Source organism: Homo sapiens, chromosome 14 (assembly GCF_000001405.40).
Source record: "Homo sapiens chromosome 14, GRCh38.p14 Primary Assembly".
NCBI classification, from domain to species: Eukaryota; Metazoa; Chordata; class Mammalia; order Primates; family Hominidae; genus Homo; species Homo sapiens.
The window spans coordinates 68,767,591-68,781,426 of NC_000014.9; the positions used below are offsets into that span (position 1 = coordinate 68,767,591).

A 13,836-nucleotide genomic window follows, 5' to 3' on the forward strand; every position below is an offset into this window, starting at 1 on the left:
ACCAAGCTCTGCTTTCCCCCTAGGGGCCGCCACCCAATTACTGTAAGGCCTCAGCAGATGCTTAGGAAGCACCCAGCACTGAGGTAAGTGACATGTGGATATCAAGCGGGATGGGCTCCTCACCTTCAGGGGAGTTAGAGAAATAAAACGAGTACCTGGAAGAAGACACACATTCCAGGCAGCCAAGGCCCTGAGCAGTACTCTGTGTTCTATGGAGTTCAAGGAGTTTGGAGCTCTATGGCGTCCAGAAGTGGGACCCAGTCCTTCATGGAAGACGAGCTTTGTCTGTGTAGAGAGAGCAGGGTAGACCTTGCTGCCCTAAGGCATTCCAGAGAGATGAAGCTCTATTCTGTTTGGAAAAGACCTCCAGGGCTGGAGGCTTTGCTGCAGCCAGAACAATCCAGGCAGGTGGTTTTCCCCTTTGGCCCTTCTCAGACACAGTGTGTGCACTGTGGCATCAACACCTGCTTGTCCCCAGGAGATGGAGAACAGCCGGTCACCGGCCTCAGTGCAACAACCCTGAGTGGTGCAGAAGATGGGTGGTCAGAGAGACCTGCCACTGCTGAGAGCCAAGAAAACCAGCCAAGAGGGGCCTTTTGGGAAAGGGCTGAGCAGACAACCCGCACCCGGCACCCACTACCAGCCCTTAGTCTCTCTGACTTACAGACACATAGTTAGCTACCAGTCCAACAAGGGGTGGATGGGAGATGTTTGGGGCTCTGTGAGAGACAAGAAAATTCCAACTCTTCTGTGTGGTGGGCATCCCCACCACATGAAAACGTGGCCCAGGTTGCGAGAGGAGGTGGCCCCACAATCCCAGAGCCAGGGAGTTTACTCCCAACCGAGGAGGCTGTGAAATGAGTGTGCTTCTGCTGTGTCTGGTGGTTACACATCTGCCCAGTGTGACTGACAGCCCAGCTGATGACGGCAAAGAAGCAGGGAGGGTGTCCCTGAGAGGGTTAGACCATGGGGAAGAGGAACCCACCTGGCCTCAAGGGCTGCTCACTACTCCAGGACTGGGTTTCCTTAGAGAAACACAGAAAGAGCCCAGTGGGCGAAGGAGGTCAACTTCCTTCTGTCCGTTCCCCTTGGCCCTAACTACAGTCAGCCGCAATCATTGGAATGGCCAACATGTAGTGAGCACTTCCCACGTGCTCCTCATAGTGCTGCGCAGTGTGCAGAGGTCTCATTCCATCCTCCCTTAACAGCAATTCTGAAACGTGGGTTGGAAATATGCCCCCCCGCCACTGGACACCTGAGCAGACCTGAGGCTCAGGAGGTTTGGCAATTTTTCCCAGGGCCCCACAGCAAGAAGTGCCCAGATGTCCTCTCCAGGTTTCCCCCGTCACCACATGACATAAGCTCCGAGGATATGCACTTTTATCATTCGTATGTCACAGATGAGAATATTGAGGCTTAAAGAGGTTAAGTGACTTCCCCAAGTTTACACAAGGAGCAGGGGGCAACATCAGGAAAGAACTGCAGGCTTTTTGACTTCAGAGCCCATGCTTGTAATCACCACTTTCTACTGCCTCTCTTCCAATCCCCTACCCATCCCTCACACAAGGAGCAGAGTGGGGTTCAGCCTATTTCTTCCAGAAAGAGTCCCTTTCTCCGAGAGTAATATGATCTATAACATGAAGATGCACACAGGGGAAACACATCCAGCATGAGGACAGGCTCCTCAGAGCCATGGAGGCACAGGTGTGACCGTGATAAGTACAGAAAAGAGGGGGTCGTGCTGGGTAGCACCTCATCCCATACTTTTCAACAGACCTAGCATTTAATCTGCTCTTTCTCTGCCCCTTAATTATTTTATTTTATACTAATAATAATAATATATATATATTTTTTGAGATGGAGTCTCGCTCTGTCTCCCAGGCTGGAGTGCAGTGGCATGATCTCAGCTCACTGCAACCTCTCCCTTCTGGATTCAAGCAATTCTCCTGCCTCAGCCTCCTGAGTAGCTGGGATTATAGGCACACACCACCATACCAAGCTAATTTTTTTATTTTTAGTAGAAACGGGGTTTCACCATGTTGGCCAGACTGGTCTCGAACTCCTGACCTCAGGTGATCTGCCTGCCTCGGCTTCCCAAAGTGCTGGGATTACATGTGTGAGCCACCACACCCGGCTTTTATTTTATTATTTTTGAGACAGGACTCATTCTGTCACCCTGGCTGGAGTGCAGTGGCACCATCACGGCTTATGGCAGCCTTGACCTCCCAGGCTCAGACCATCCTCCCACCTCAGCTTCTTGAGTAGCTGGGACTACAGACGTGTGCCACCATCCCCAGCTAATTCTTTGTATTTTTTTGTAGGAACGGGGTTTCTCCATGTTGCCCAGGCTGATCTCGAACTCCTGGATTCAAGTGATTCCCCCTGCCTCAGTTTCCCAAAGTGCTGGGATTACATTACAAGTGTGAGCCACCGTGCCGGCCTGTGCCCTTAATTTGAAAAACAGTTCCCTTAGTAATATCATGTGAGCATGGAATATCGTTGAATGAGACATCATCACGTCGATGTCTTTTTTATTGCTTATCACGGGTTGATGGTGGGGAGAAAAGGTGCCTCCTACTAAGGCACAATGGCACAACTGCCAAGAGGCCATGTCCCCTAAACACCAGCTTACTGTCCCCCCACCCAGCCTCGGGGCCGTGGCTGACCTCAGCCCCGACAGCAGGCCTTGTGCTGTAGGAGAAACTCCCTTCACCAAGAGAAGGCTCGGGAGATCCAGAACATGCCTGCATCTCGGAGAATGCAAGGCCTAGGGCTGGGGAATATGGGGAGGGCCTCATTTTCTCACCTGCCAGCCTCACACAACCTCCAAACTGTCCTGAAACTGTTTCTTCAAACCAGGAAGATCACCCTGACTCAACTGAGAGGAGCCTCCAGAAGGATGAGATGGACTTGTGACTAAAGGCCAGTTCCTCTCCCACCCTGTCCTCTCTCCTGAAAAGGATTTAATTGAGCATCTATACTCCCTCTCTCTGCATGTCTGCAGCACACCAAATCAGTGTGATTAGGGACACTGTGGCAAGTTAGTGTTCTGGCTTGGCCTCAGGGTCCCGTGGAGACAGGTCCAGCGGTGCTTCAGCCCTGGGCTCAAGCTGTGGCAGGGAGAGAGGCAGTCCAGCGGCAGCAAGGATGGGAAGAGCAGCTGGACACTCAGAGCATCGTCACCACAGCAGAAGGCAAACTCCAGCCCTGCCGCTCCCCTCTCCTCCACTTTGCTAAAACAAGCCAGAGAAGAACTGCAGGCCTTCCCAGAGGACCCTCACCTGCCAGCCTCTCTAGCAAGTCTGAATGGAGGCCCCTCCCTGTCTACTTAGCCCTCTCCAGTGGTCCGGCACTACATTCCTCGCTCTATAATTTCTTCTACCTTGATCTTTAAGCGTTTTCTTGCCTGTGTAATCATTTCACCTTTCATGCCTGTTAGTGCTGTTTCTGAAAGAAAAGGGACTGTGTCATAGTCATAGCTGCACCCCGGGTAATATCCACAGACACATAGTAGATCTCAGGAAATGCTTGTTCTGAGAGTGGCTGGGCAGGGTAAGTTAGAACCCACCCCGGTGCTCCCTGCTCTTTCCCCACGCTGCTACCAAAGCACCAGCCCTCCCACCATCACCTTCTCTGTTTCCCTGCCTCTCTGCACTGAGAGTCCTGGAGTCAGCACTCCTGTCCACTCACATTGGAATCCTCCTTGCCTAGCATGGTGGCTGGCACATAACTGTTATTGGTATTCACTCATTTCACATTTATTCCACGCCTTCCATCATGTATGTCTTAGAATGCTTTCTACACAATGTCTTTGATTTTTCAACAACAACTCCATAAGAGTCCATAAGGTGGGTATTCTCCCGTTTTACAGCTGGAAAAACTAAGGCAAGCAGAAGTTAAATGCCTTGACCAAGGCCAACCAGTGTGGCAAAATGTCTTGACCGAGGCCACCCAGCGTGGCAAGGAGAAGTTCAATGCCTTGACCGAGGCCACCCAGGCAGAGGCAAGATTCAAACCCAGGCCTCTCAGGTACCCAAAGCCTAGTTCTCTCTTGTAGACCGGCTGCTTCTCCAGCCTCAGGGTGAAAGCTCCTCCCATCCAAACATTCAAACTGTGGGTTACAGCGTGTCACTTCAGTGGAAAGTCTGTTTCTCCTCGAACCCAGGGAGAGGTCTCGGGGAGCTGCAGCCTGGAGCTTTCTACCGCTTTCTACCGCCCATGTTGGGAGCATGGGAAGCGGGTGTTTTTCTTGCTTGCGGCCTTGGTGGCCATTTCCTACAGTGTATCCGCACTGGAGAATGACAGGAAGAAGTGGCTTCCGGCTGGTGCAGGGAGGAGCCTGCCTCTGCCTGCCCTACAGAGAAGGGATTTTTTTTTTGCTCCAAAGCAGCAGCCACTCTGCCTTGCCCTTGGACAGGGAACACAGGAGAACTAGGAAATGATGAGTTTGGGGTAGTTATTACATTTGTTTTTAATACAATTGATTAAGCTTATATAATTTCATCTTTAATAATGGCTGTGTTTAACCGCTGATTTCCAAAATGCCTGAAAATCGAGCAATCAGTGCTCATGAACCAATATTATATAGGACCAATTACTTCTCAGGGCTGTTGTAAATCCAAATACCATAATGTCAGTGTTCACCAGCAGGTTGCTGGAACCAGCTGTGTGACCTTGGGCAAGCTTCTTAACCAGCATATGCTTCAGGTCTTGCCCATCTGTAAAATGAGACCATTGTGAAGATAATAGGATATATATATATATGTAAAGAACCTAGCCAGGGTAGACTGGGTGAGGTGGCTCACACCTGTAATCCCAGCACTTTGGGAGGCCAAGGTGGGTGGATCGCTTGAACCCAGAGTTTGAAACCAGCCCTGGCAACATAGGGATACCCTGTCTCTAAAAAAGAAATAATAAAATAAAATAATAAAAAAGAACCTGGCCAGGGTGGGACCAGGGTGACAGCGGCACTCACAAAGGACCAGGCACTCAGTCTCAGGGTCAGCAGCTGAATGCCTCCTTAAATTTTGTACACTAGGCCCCTCGCTTGCCTGACACTTGTCTGAGCCCCACTCTTGGCACATAGTAGGTACGTGCTATTATTTACTACAAGAGCTTCAAGGAGGGTGTAACCTAACAGCAATGTAAAGATGAGGAAAGTTATCTAATAATACATGAGAAAAACACCAGCGTGGCACATTGTCCTGGGACATATGGTAGATACCCAATGAGCTTTTCAGATAATGAGGGTTGTATTTCAGCAATGAAACCCACAGCCTGCTGAGGAGACATCTCTAGAAGATTCAGGGCTGTCTCTGAAAACACCTGCGACAAGCAAAAATTTCTTTGCGTTGTTTTGAAAGATAAAAAATACTAATCTTCAAAATGTACTTCCTGCTGCATAGTAGGTAGATAGGCACCGTAAGATTGCTCTCCCCTAACAGTGCTTCTAGTGAAATTAACAGCAGGGGATGATGGGCCTGTTAACCCTGCAGCTTCCCAAGTTCCCTGACTCAACACTGGGCACCCACCACCCAGAGTCGGTGGTTGGCGGGGAGGAAGATGCTAAGACACTGGCCCTATGTGGGGAGGGGAGGGCTGTATGGGCTGGAGGAGGTAAGCTGTCACTCATTGAGGATGTACAGAAGGGGAATTGGGGTTGATGCCTTGAATAGAATGGCTGGAAAATTCTAAAAGTATACTTTCAAAGGAGACAACCCTCAAATCTCTTCCCTAAATCATTTCCTTTTAATGCAATATTTGGGCAGATTAGGGATTAATAGTGAGGTATTGTGATAAGAGCATTGGATTTGAAATTAAAAAGCTTGGTTTCCACTCCTTACTACTTCCATAACCTTGGGCAAATCATCTGACCTCCAGAAGCTTCACTTCTCTATTTGTAAAGCAGGGACCATTGTGAGGAACAGGTGAAATGAAGTGTTATTACATAAATGTTCACAATGGCTGTGAACTGGTTGGCCATTTGAAGATCCCCAGTCAATGCTGCCAAGAGCCAGGAAGAAAGTTCCTTTGGCCTCCAAGATGCGTCAGGAGCACCGCAGGTGAGGGCCATTCATGCAGATAGATCCAGACCTTGGGAGAACCCTTGGACTTGCTCTTTTCCAAGCCTGATGATGCCGCAGGAACACAGTGGGGTTTTACATGGCAGCAGGTAACTAAGAAAGAGAAGTGAAGTGAATGAGAAAAGGCCAGAGACCTTCGGGAGGCTGGCAGATCCATCTGAACATGAGCTGTGGGGCAGTGGGGAGGTGCATGACCCAAAGGTGGAGGTATATACCCCAGGCAGCCCAAGGAACAGACCATGGCTGGACATCTCTCTCCCTCCCCACATCTCCACCGGAGCTATCACTCCACCCAAGGTAAACAGCAGAACCATATTGTCCAGTTTAAAAGCTCTTTTACTTGGCTTTTTGTAAGTGTATTTCTTCTGTGTTTTATGTGGGGAGGAAAACTAATACCTCCTGATGATGCCACCTGCATTTGAAGTGGCTGCCATTTTCTTACACTCAAAAATAAACTTCCTTTAAGGATTGATAAACCAAGGAAAGCAGTAATGTCCTATGTGATACACACCTGGTTCTTTCCACAAAAATACCTTCTATTAGGAAAAAAAATCTTATTAGATAAGCAAGTACAAACTTTTAGAAAAAAATAAACTGCTAAATTCAAATTACATGACTTTGACTCAACCTAATTCTCAGATTGGCTCTTTTCAGCTCTCCCCACCCACACACAATCCTCAATAAGTAGAGGCATAATGTGTTATCTCGCAGAGGTCATTGCTTTCTTAAAGATGATCAAGGCTGGACACGGTGGCTCATGCCTGTAATCCCAGCACTTTGAGAGTCCAAGGTGGGTGGATCACCTGAGGTCAGGAGTTCGAGACCAGCCTGGCCAACATGGTAAAACGCCGACTCTACTAAAAATACAAAAATTAGCCAGGCGTGGTGGTGGACGCCTGTAATTCCAGCTACTCAGGAGGCTGAGGCAGGAGAACCACTTGAACCTGGAAGGCAGAGGTTGTAGTGAGCTGAGATTGTGCCATTGCACTCCAGCCTGGGCAACAGAGAAAGACTCTATCTCCAAAACAAACAAACAAACAAACAAAGGAAAGGACAACGTTTAACAGAAAGCATAAGTGGAGAAGCTGCTGTAGGACAGAGACTTTCCCACACTCTAGCCAACAGCTTCTGACTCCTACTGTGCCTAAAATAGTAGAATAAACACTGGTTTTGATTGTCCACCAGATCACAAGATGCCTAAGGGCATGAGCATGTGGTAGACTATTTGCAAAAATGACTACAAGCATTCCTCTTCCTGTATCTATCCTCCTAAATATGACTTTGTAGTTTCTCCCACAGAGAGGTGGAGTCTATTCTTGAATCTGAGCTGGCCTTGTGATTTTCTTTGGCCAATGAAATATAATGCAAGTACTGTTGTGCCAATTCCAAATCTAGCCCTCTGGAGCCTTGCCTGCCCACACTCATTCTCTTGGAGTGCTGCTGCCACCATGAGAACAAGCCCCAGCTAGGGCGGTAGGATAAGAGACCACGTGGAGCACCAATAAACTGTCCTAGCCGAGGCCATCTTAGACCACCAGCCCCCAGCCTACCTGCTGGTGATCACAGATACATAAGTAAGCCCAGATGAGGCCAGAAGAACCACCTAGCTAAGCCCAGCTCAAATTTCCCACCCACTAAAATGTGAGCTAAATAAGTGGTTGTCATTTTAAGCATTAATTTTGGGGGTGGTCTATTATGTAGCAAAAGCTAACAGACACAGGGCAGGTATAGTACCTCTGTCAAGCCTCTTGGGCTCCAGTTGTGATGCTCAGCCTCTATGAACAGAAGAGGGGCTGCAGATGCTGTTGTTGGCCCACCACATCCCTTCACCCTCACCATTTCAGCGCATATCTGCCCAATTCCACCTGCCAGTCCCTGTACCTGTGCCTGTGGGCTCTGTCTAGCCACCCTCACAGAAGGTCAGAAGTGTCAAGCAGCTCTCAACCCAGGACTGAGAGAGTTAGTGTATAAATACCCCAGCTCCCTCACCACTTGGATGTGCTGTCTCTGAGGCATGTGTCCTTCACTGGCTCCCCGATCTTCCCAGCGGCATCAAGGCCTAGACACCCAGAGTGATAACTAACTTGATACAAACCCTTTACTGGCTGCCTTCTCTTTCTGACTCACTTTCCCACTCACCTAGTGGTGCTTCTTGAAATTACCTCTCAAACTACTTCCATTCAAATCCTTATCTTGGGGTTTGCTTCTAAGCAACGAAAGCAGATGGGCACCAGAGACAGGGCCACCACTCAAAGCCATTGCTGTCATCAAGCCCCTTATGACTGGGTTTCGCTACTTCTCCCACCTCAGTCAGGAAGTAGCTGCCCACTAACCCACTCCCACTGCCCCTGAGCACAAGCACCCCAGGACAGCCCACCACGTGGTCCGCAGAACTACTTCCTCCACCATCTGTCTTTGTAAACAGTTAATGCTTTGTCCTTCACTTTCCAGTCCCGTGGCTGTCTCATTTCATGCTCTGGAGGATGGAGAAGGAAAAACTTGGAAAAGAGGAAGACCCAGACTTGGAACAAAAAGGTGTGGAGCAAGCTGGGCTATCCCCTACCTGTCCCTTTTACCCTAACCAAATCTGGCAAAAGGCCCAACCTAAGCCCCCATCAGTACCTAAGCCCCTCTGTAGTACTCAGAGGAAAGAGTTCAGCAAATATAGCCCCAGCCTCCCAGGGATCAGGGATTTGTTTGTCTGCCCAGCACGTACATTCAAAGATGCTTACTGAGTGCCTGTTACCTGCCAAGCACTGCTCTGGATGCTGGGAGACAGCAAGGAATGAAACAGACCAAAGCTCTGCTCTCATGTAGCTTATATTCTAGTGGGAGGCACAATACACACATACACACAGACACTACATGTATGTATCAGCCCAGGCCAGGGGCATCTGTCTTACAGACTCATAGCACAGAGGAAGCAAAAGTGGGCATGGATTCTGAGGTCAGGCAGGCCTGCATTCAAATCCTGTCTCCGTCCTTAAGTAGCTGTGTGACCTTGGGCGTGTTGGTTAACCTCTCTGCACCTGTTTCCTCCTCTGGGAGGCAGGGAATAATAGCAGTACCTATCTCACAGCACTGTTGGAAGGATTAATGAGGTAGCACATGGCACATATAAACCCTTAATACACCTCAACTATTAAGGCAATCCTTGAGGTGGTGCCTCTGTTATATAACCTGCCATGTTTCTCTCAAACTCATCTGGCACAGGAGCCCAGTGGGGAAGGACATGAGTGAGGCTGGTGGGCTCCATTCCTTCAACATAGCCACCCTTTTCTTGCATGAAGAAGTAGTCTTTCCGCCGGGCTCGGTGGCTCATACCTGTAATCCCAGCACTTTGGGAAGCCAAGGTGGGCAGATCACCAGGTCAGGAGATCGAGACCATCCTGGCTAATACGGTGAAACCCCGTCTCTACTAAAAATACAAAAAATTAGCCAGGCGTGGTGGCGGGCGCCTGTAGTCCCAGCTACTCGGGAGGCTGAGGCAGGAGAATGGCGTGAACCCGGGAGATGGAGCTTGCAGTGAGCTGAGATGGCGCCACTGAACTCCAGCCTGGGGACAGAGTGAGACTCCGTCTCAAAAAAAAAAAAGAAAAAAAAAGAAATAGTCTTTCCTATTGCCTGTTTTTTTTAAAACACGCAGCCCTTGAGTTTTTATTTTTCATTTTTTGATAGAGATACGGGTACAGAGAAAAATTTCTCTAACATTAGAGGACAGAAAGTTCAGGAGGTCCTGGGGACACATAGGGAGTGGTGGGGACTGGGGCAAACTGGAGAGCACTTTATAAAAAAAAACAAATACAGATACTATTTACATCCACATGGCTGATGCCAAATGGGAATATGAGCCGTCTATGGCCAGATACCCCAGTTTTCCCAGAGACGCCAGAAATTTGAATAATTATTATTATTATTAAATCTTTTGATTTTTAAATGTTGGCTCGAAATATTTAGAAATATTGTATAAAGCACAGTACATTTTAATGGGTCTGTAGGCTGGCTCCACCGCATGGGCAGTGACCTTAAGACTACTCTCCTTTGCTCTTGTCTGCTAGGTCTCTACAGTCTGAGTTCTTCTGATGCAGGGACACCAAGATACACAGCTCCAGGGAGCACCATTTACATTTAACTCCTTGAGTCTCTGTGACTCAGGGAAGTATGCAGGGTTCCTCTGATACTCCCAGAGCCAGGTCAGTGTGGAGCTACAAGAGAACTTCTCTCCAAACCAGATGCTGCCAGGGGCCCAGAGTATCACAAATTGTACTATCCTCTAATTATCTGCTCTCAAGTTAGTCTATTATTGTATCCATATTTGTACAGATTATACAAATTTGTATGGATTGTATTGTATCCATTATTTGTATCCACAGGACAAAATCTGATCTGGTTAATTGATGGTTTCATTAGTTTATGTCTTGCCTCACCAACTAAAATGTAAACTCTATGCATGAGGACCACATTCTATGCTTTTTGGAACCATACAGCACCTTCTACATTGCATTAGTACCCAATACCCATTTACGTGTTGACTGATTCATCACAGAGGTCATTCTGAATTGGTTGCTATTGTGTGTGGCATTTGGGTAACACTTGAGGATACAGAAGAGGAGAGTTCTTCCAGGAGCATATGCAGAAACAGGAAAATGTATTTCCCAACAAAATTTACTTCACAACAAAAAAATTAGCCATCTCTGTGCCTTCCACTTCAACACGCACCCACCATTCAGTGCCATCCTTTGCAAGTGTTGTTTTAATGCTGTTATTAAGAATAGCTTATTTTGCATTTTCTCGCCAGTAAAATGGAAACATCCAGGCTTACTAGCCATCTCCTGGAGAGACCACAGAGAGCAGAAAGAAAGTATAAACTGATCCCATTTATAAAGTATATTTAAAATCAGAGAATAGTGGGTATGTTGTGGCTGAGCACACTATTAGATGGCTAAAACATATCAGGAAAGAAATCCTCAATTGTTCATTTGTGCCAGGGTTGAATGAGCTATATTTAACCTGATGATTATTTAATTAAATAGTTCCCTTGGAGTCTCTCTGCAGTCCTTATAATTTGTTATACAGAATACAATAGTAATTCATTTGCACTTGTATAATATTTACTCTTTGCTTCCCAGGGCTACTTTTTTTTTTTTTTTCAGTTTCGACAGGCCTAGAACCCCTAATAAAAGAGAGTTGAACAAACAGTTTGAGAACAGAGGAGTGAGTACAAACACAGAGTACTTGAATCACAAGATAGTCCAGCTGGAAGGAGCCTTGAAGATAACTGAATTCAACTCTGTCTTTTTACAAATGAAGCAACTGAGACCCAAAAAGGTCGGGTGACTCACCCCAGGACAAACAGCCGGAGAGGGGCCACATGTCCAATTCCTAATACTCATTCCACTACTCATTAACCTCAGGACACCACGGCTCCCTCAAACACCCACAGCCAGCTTTTGAAGGGCTAATCCCTTAGAATCGTGGGCTCTTAGAAGCTATGACACCTGTACCAATAGAAAAATCATCCATTCAGTAGGTAAGTGCCTGCTGAGTGCCAGGCATCAGCGTTGACATGAAATAGAACGGTGAACAGGAGGCTGGGCGCGGTGGCTCATGCCTGTAATCCCAGCACTTTGGGAGGCTGAGACAGATGGATCACTCGAGGTCAGGAGTTCGAGACCAGCCTGGCCAACATGGTCAAACCCTGTCTCTACTAACAATACAAAACTTAGCCAGGCATGGTGGCAGGCGCCTGTAGTCCCAGCTACTCAGGAGACTGAGGCAGAAAAATCACTTGAACCCTAGAGGTGGAGGTTGCAGTGAACCGAGATCGAGCCACTGCACTCCAGCCTGGGTGACAGAGTGAGATTCTGCTTCAAACCAAAACAAAACAAAACAAAAAAATTAACAAGAGCCCAGGCTCCTGCCTCACCAGATTTACCTTCAAGCTGGATGAGATAATGACAGACAAGTCAAGAATTAAATGAACTTGGCACTTTCTGAGAGTAATAAGTACTGAAATATTAAACCAGAATGGTAGATAGAGAGTGAGGAGGAGGGGGCTGCTTTGGATAGGATGTCAGAGAATCACTCTGCAATGTCCCTAACCCAGGAGAGGGAGAGTCGGGTAGGGGGAACACCTAGCTTTTGTTTGAACATTACTAACAACAGGAACTCCACTACCTCCAAAGGCCAGCTCAGTGTCTTAAAAAGGTCTTCCCCGGACTGAGCCAAAATCTGCCTCCCTGTGACTTCAAACTTCAGTAACTCATTCTCTGAGCATCACAAAAACCAGTCAGCTAATAAGTAGCATGTTCAAATGCAAAGCACATCCTAAATTAAGACAGTTGCTGCAATGCTTCAATTTGAAATAGCGTGTTTGGGAAAATACGACATACCAGGAGAATGACTTACATGTTCACATTCAGCCTGCAGTTCATAAAAGTGTTTAAAACCACCACTTCAAAGGATGTTCCGACAGCCAGCTTCTAGAGTCCCAAACCCGTCTGTGTGAGTCACCTGACATCAGTGACAGGACATACCAACTCCCTTCCGTCTGTAACTCTAGTTGGGGTTTTATAGCAACAACACTGCCAGTTCCGTTGCCCTGTCATTCGGCATGGCAAAGGAAATTTGGCTCTGTGCATTTTGCTTTCTAAGATATTCATGGAATCATGAAACAAACTACTCTTTGGCTCCCACCCTCTATCTCACAGAGAAGAAAATGGAAGCCTGGAAATAGAAAGTGACCATCAAGTTTCATCAGCAAGCAATGGCCAGGGTAGGACTTGTTCCCTTCAGCCTCCAAACTGGTGGCAGCTGCAACAATGCGTAAGCCCCAGGTTTGCTTGTATGTGGGGATGGACTTCTAAGCCTCCAGAGATAGTTAGTGCATACTTATGAAGAGAAAACCCAGCTCCCTAACTCCCTTTCATGTGAACCTGCACTCCAGCGATCTCCCCAGAAGGTCCCCAGCACCATACGCTGCTGAAGGGGTTTCCATTCAAGTGTGGGCACATTGTTTGGGTTGCAGGTGTCATCCGTTGTGTGGGAAGATGCAGCTCCTGCTCCAAACCAACCCAAAAGCTACAGGATGCACAGAGAGAAGCAGGGGTTAGGGACAACACCAAAGTTGGCACTATTTCAGCTTTTACCCAAGTCTAATAGTCTGACTGAACCAACTGCCTGGCTGCTCCTAATGCCTCAGAGCCCTCTAGGCTGGCCCAGTAAAATGGTTAGCAACAAAGGAAGAAAAACTGTTTAGGAGACAGGCCTTCCTGAGCCAATGAAGGAAGCCTCAGAGCCCTGCCCTCCTTCCCCCAGCTTGAGGCAGCTGGGGGAGGATCTGAGCGCTGGCTGTGCTGATCTGGCCGTGCCTCCTTCCTCCTCCCTTGCTGGCTTCTGCTGCTGGCTGGAGCTCTGAGAATCTACCATTTTTCCCCCTCTGAGCCCTGCAATCGCAGGAATAAATGACTTCCTTGAATGGAGAGGAACTGCTAGAATGCAGTTTAATCATAATGGACAGTATCTCTCAGAAAACAAGGCACCAAAAGAGGGAACACCGATGCCAGCAACCATGCTGGTGCCTTCTACAGCCAGCCCCAAGGTCACAAGTTTCAAGCAGACTATAAAGCTGCTAACTGATTAGAAAATAATCAGCTTAGCCCTTAGCAGCCTCCCTCCTGATCACACATCATGCAAGACAACACCCCTGTGAGTGATAAAATATGGTTTCCTCCACCCCAACCAGGCAGCAGCA

General features: G+C 47.8%; 1 long non-coding RNA gene across 1 annotated transcript, besides 2 other annotated features; it reads right to left on the bottom strand.

Annotated features, from left to right (window-relative positions):
• Nucleotides 1,260-1,429: an enhancer, noted in NCBI's record as "experimental_36402 CRE fragment used in MPRA reporter constructs". NCBI's record gives its function as "activates a minimal promoter by MPRAs in K562 erythroleukemia cells, with activity observed for both the introgressed and non-introgressed 14:69235652 variant alleles {active_cell/tissue: K562}" and the evidence as "EXISTENCE:reporter gene assay evidence [ECO:0000049][PMID:34662402]".
• Nucleotides 5,726-12,607, bottom strand: LOC107984709 (uncharacterized). Its single transcript, XR_001750793.2, has 2 exons — nt 12,492-12,607; nt 5,726-6,176 (listed from the first exon to the last, which is right to left on the bottom strand). It is a non-coding gene; the product is annotated as an uncharacterized LOC107984709 (long non-coding RNA).
• Nucleotides 13,188-13,689: an enhancer, noted in NCBI's record as "H3K4me1 hESC enhancer chr14:69247495-69247996 (GRCh37/hg19 assembly coordinates)". NCBI's record gives its function as "activates a minimal SCP1, AML or CMV promoter by ChIP-STARR-seq in naive H9 embryonic stem cells {active_cell/tissue: H9 hESC(naive)}" and the evidence as "EXISTENCE:reporter gene assay evidence [ECO:0000049][PMID:30033119]".